The 3,404-nt window shown below is 51.3% G+C and overlaps 1 annotated feature.

Moving 5' to 3' along the window:
* Positions 2,146–2,646: an enhancer, noted in NCBI's record as "H3K4me1 hESC enhancer chr16:86235472-86235972 (GRCh37/hg19 assembly coordinates)". NCBI's record gives its function as "activates a minimal SCP1, AML or CMV promoter by ChIP-STARR-seq in naive H9 embryonic stem cells {active_cell/tissue: H9 hESC(naive)}" and the evidence as "EXISTENCE:reporter gene assay evidence [ECO:0000049][PMID:30033119]".

A 3,404-nucleotide genomic window follows, 5' to 3' on the forward strand; every position in this document is an offset into this window, starting at 1 on the left:
TGTCTTTTGAAGAGCATTTTAAACCTGATATTAAAATCTGGCCGAGCGCATGTCCCGGGGCGTAATTGGTGGGCACAGGAATTTGGGTCCTTTGCAAGAAGTGTGGTATTCTCCCTTCACAAGGTATTTCTTCCCCAATGTATAAAATGAAAGCAGAAAGGTTTTTAGGTAGCTATTTAAAACTGTTCATGCAACATAATAAATATAAGACAATTGACCCGTGTTTTAATGTTTATCCGTAAGACGAAGTGCAGCCCGGCTGGTGCAGTGACGCAGGCGGCTTGCTGGAGCCGAGAACACCCACGTGTGGGGTGATGTTTTCCCACCACGGTGCAGCGGGTTAGCAGCTGACCCGCGCTCCCACCAAACCTAAAACCACTCTCTAATGGGCTTTACGGTATTTACATTTTGAATTTTATTTATAGGACACCAGATGTCTGTGTTCACAAGAAAAAAAAAAATCATTTGGAATATAAAATCCCTCCCCTTCCCCGCATTCGTTAGCTGAGGAGATATTTGCCTTCCCCCCTGCAATGCGGCAGTGGCTCGCAAGCCAGTTCTGAGCTGGGGTTTATGGTCTCTTTGGAGGTTCGGGAGGTGGGAGACTGCGCATTTGTTCCCATTTTCTGTGTGACCACGGGCGTGCCTTTATTTCTGGGCCACGTTTTCTCCTGAGACTCTTTGCGTCTCTCAGCGACCACCCTCTTACTCATTAAACTCTTCTGACACAGAGGAATGGAGCTGGGCAGAAGCTCAAAGCCAGACCTTAAGAAAACTGCTTAAGATCTTACCCAAAAGCCGCAGCGTCCGGCTGTGAGCTGGGGCAAGCAGATGACTACGTCTTTCCTCCTTCATCCCTGGAAGTGGTCTTAGAATAAAAGTGCTTCAAAAACATAAGTGGATATTTTTATTCACTTCTTTATTGTTTTCATTGTCAAATAACTTCAGAACATGCAAACCCAACAAGGCACACAGCCCAGCAGCCCTCCTCTGACTGATCTGCCTGAAACTGCCAGTCATGTCTCGTCTCCAAATCACACAGAAGATTCACACAGCACCAGGGCTTCTCCCCTCTCCCCAGGTCTCTAGCCCAGATTCACTCCTAACACTGAACCTCTCCCAGGGCCCGCCCGCCCAGGAAATTGCCTCCCCTCCCCACAACACAGATAGATGAGCAGCTTATTTTTCAGTGCATACCCACTCCAGAGGTTCGGCCTGATTCCTTCCTGTAAGTCCTACCGGCCAGCGGTGAGGGCAGCACATGAGATCACCCTGCAGGCGGATTTTAAAGCGCCACAGAGAATGGTGGCTAGGGAGCAGAGGCCACTGTGGAGCACTCTCTAGGGCCAGGTGTGTTCCAGGTGCATTCTGCATGTCACGTCCATTAACCTCCAGAGGTGTCACAGCCCCTCTTCTTAGTGAGGCTCCTAACCACTGTGCATACTGCCTGGAGGGACAGTGGCCCCGAAGAAGGACACTGAAAACCTAGGGGTTGAGCAGCCACACCTGGCACCTGGCCGCTCTGGCTCCGAGGGCTCTGGAGAGAATCACCAGTCCCCAGGCTAAGTTCTGGGTCCCCCAACTTCTAGCTGAATTTCCATATCCACATCCAAAGAAAACAGGCTAAGGATTCCTTCCGTGATTTACTTTGAAGGTCCTTATGAGGCCAGAGGGGAAGGTGTAGTGGCAAGTGTGTGACGACAGAAGCTGTGAGAGTCTGAAGCCAGGGTGGGTGGGCCGTGTGTTTAATGCCCCTCCCAGGGCCTGGAGGCCAGAGCTGGAGGCCAGGCTTGAGAAGGGCCTCCTCAGTTCATCAATAAGAGCACAGAGAAGCCTGTTTTTCTTCCCTGCTGTGGCTGTGACAATCTTACACCTCTTGAGCATCAAAAGAGAGAAGCTGAGAGCCAGAGGAAGGTCATAGCTGCAGGACTCAGTATGTTGCAGGCCGGGGACACCAGGAAGGGAAACCAGAAAGAGGGAGATGAAGGAGGTGAAGATGGGGTTCCAGGCAGGCAGATAAGAAAGCAGTAGAGTTGAAAAAGCTTTGGGGCTAGATACCTGGGGAGAGCGGAGAAGCCCTGGTGCTGTTAACAGCCAGGCAGAGCTGAGTGAGGCGGGGTCAGGGGAGAAGGAGGCAGGCGGTGCTCTCTGGAAAGTACCCGGGTGAGGAGAGGCTGGGTGGGTGGCTGGGGGAGGTGGCAGGGATCTGCCCCACTCTCCTGTCGCTGGCGCTCACTTCTGCTGCAGAGACCTTCGTCTCCTGCTGTTCCTAGCCCAAGGCTCCCCTCCCAGGCCCAGCGGTTCTCATTCCCTGGAGAGTTTTACAGCACAGATGCCCCCCAGGGATTTAGAAGAACCTGCGGGCATGCGGCTGCTTTATTGATTGATTGATTTTTACCAGCTCCCAGGTAATCCTGTGTGCAGCCAGGGCTTGAGAACAGCTCTAAGCCTAAACATCTAGATTCAAACTTAGGAAATACGCTTCCATTTAATGAACTGGAGACTTCTGAGGTTTTGTTTCTTTAATTCCTGCTCCCTAAGGGTGCCCTGCCAGGGTGGGGGCTCACCCTGGTCCAAGGGTCACAGCAGCCTGCGAGTAGAGCACCACTGCGGACTACTCGACACCCGGGATGTGGCGTGAGCTGAGTAGGGGCGCTGGGGACTGGTTCTTCGTGAAGCAGAAACGCTCTCAGCGTGGGAGAGTTTTCCAGGATGCCCGCCTCTGTTCTGTCCCCTTGTTTGTGGGTCGGGTCTGAAGGAAAGTGACGCGGCCCCTGGTTATCTTGTGCTGGGCCCTACCCTAGCCCCAGGGCCTTGCTGTCCAAACCAAGAGCATGCACAGGACTGGCCCAAAAGCAACCTCGGGAACGCTCCTTCTCATCAGCGTGGGGCTCTCTTTCTTAGTAAACACAGCAAGACAAAACAAAAGAGAAAACTTAAAAGCCTTCTGGGAAAAATTCAAACCTTGTTGAATTAAGATGAATTCCAGTTATTTGTTACAAGTATTTACAATGCTACATTGGCCCACTTACTTTTCCGTAAATCACAAACCTCTTCAATGACAGCTAACACACATATATATTTGGAGAGAGAGAGGAGAGAGAGAGAGAGAGAGAGAGAAGATCTAGTGAGTCAGGCACCATTTCAGGAGCCTCACATCGGTTAATCTATTTCACCGTGTCCACCACCCTATGGGGCAGGTATTTTTTGTGCCCATTTTACAGATGGGGTAAGTGAGGCCCAGAAGACTTGCCCCAAGGCACACAGCTAGTAAGTACCAGAGCTCAGATTCGGCCCCTGACCTCTGCAGGGCAGTGGTGCTGAGAAGAGAGAAGGGCACTATTATTAAATTGGAAAACGTGATGATTATTTAAGAGAGTTTCTTAAGTGGTGTCCTCAGAGCC

The sequence above is a fragment of the Homo sapiens genome, chromosome 16 (assembly GCF_000001405.40).
Source record: "Homo sapiens chromosome 16, GRCh38.p14 Primary Assembly".
Classification (NCBI taxonomy): domain Eukaryota; kingdom Metazoa; phylum Chordata; class Mammalia; order Primates; family Hominidae; genus Homo; species Homo sapiens.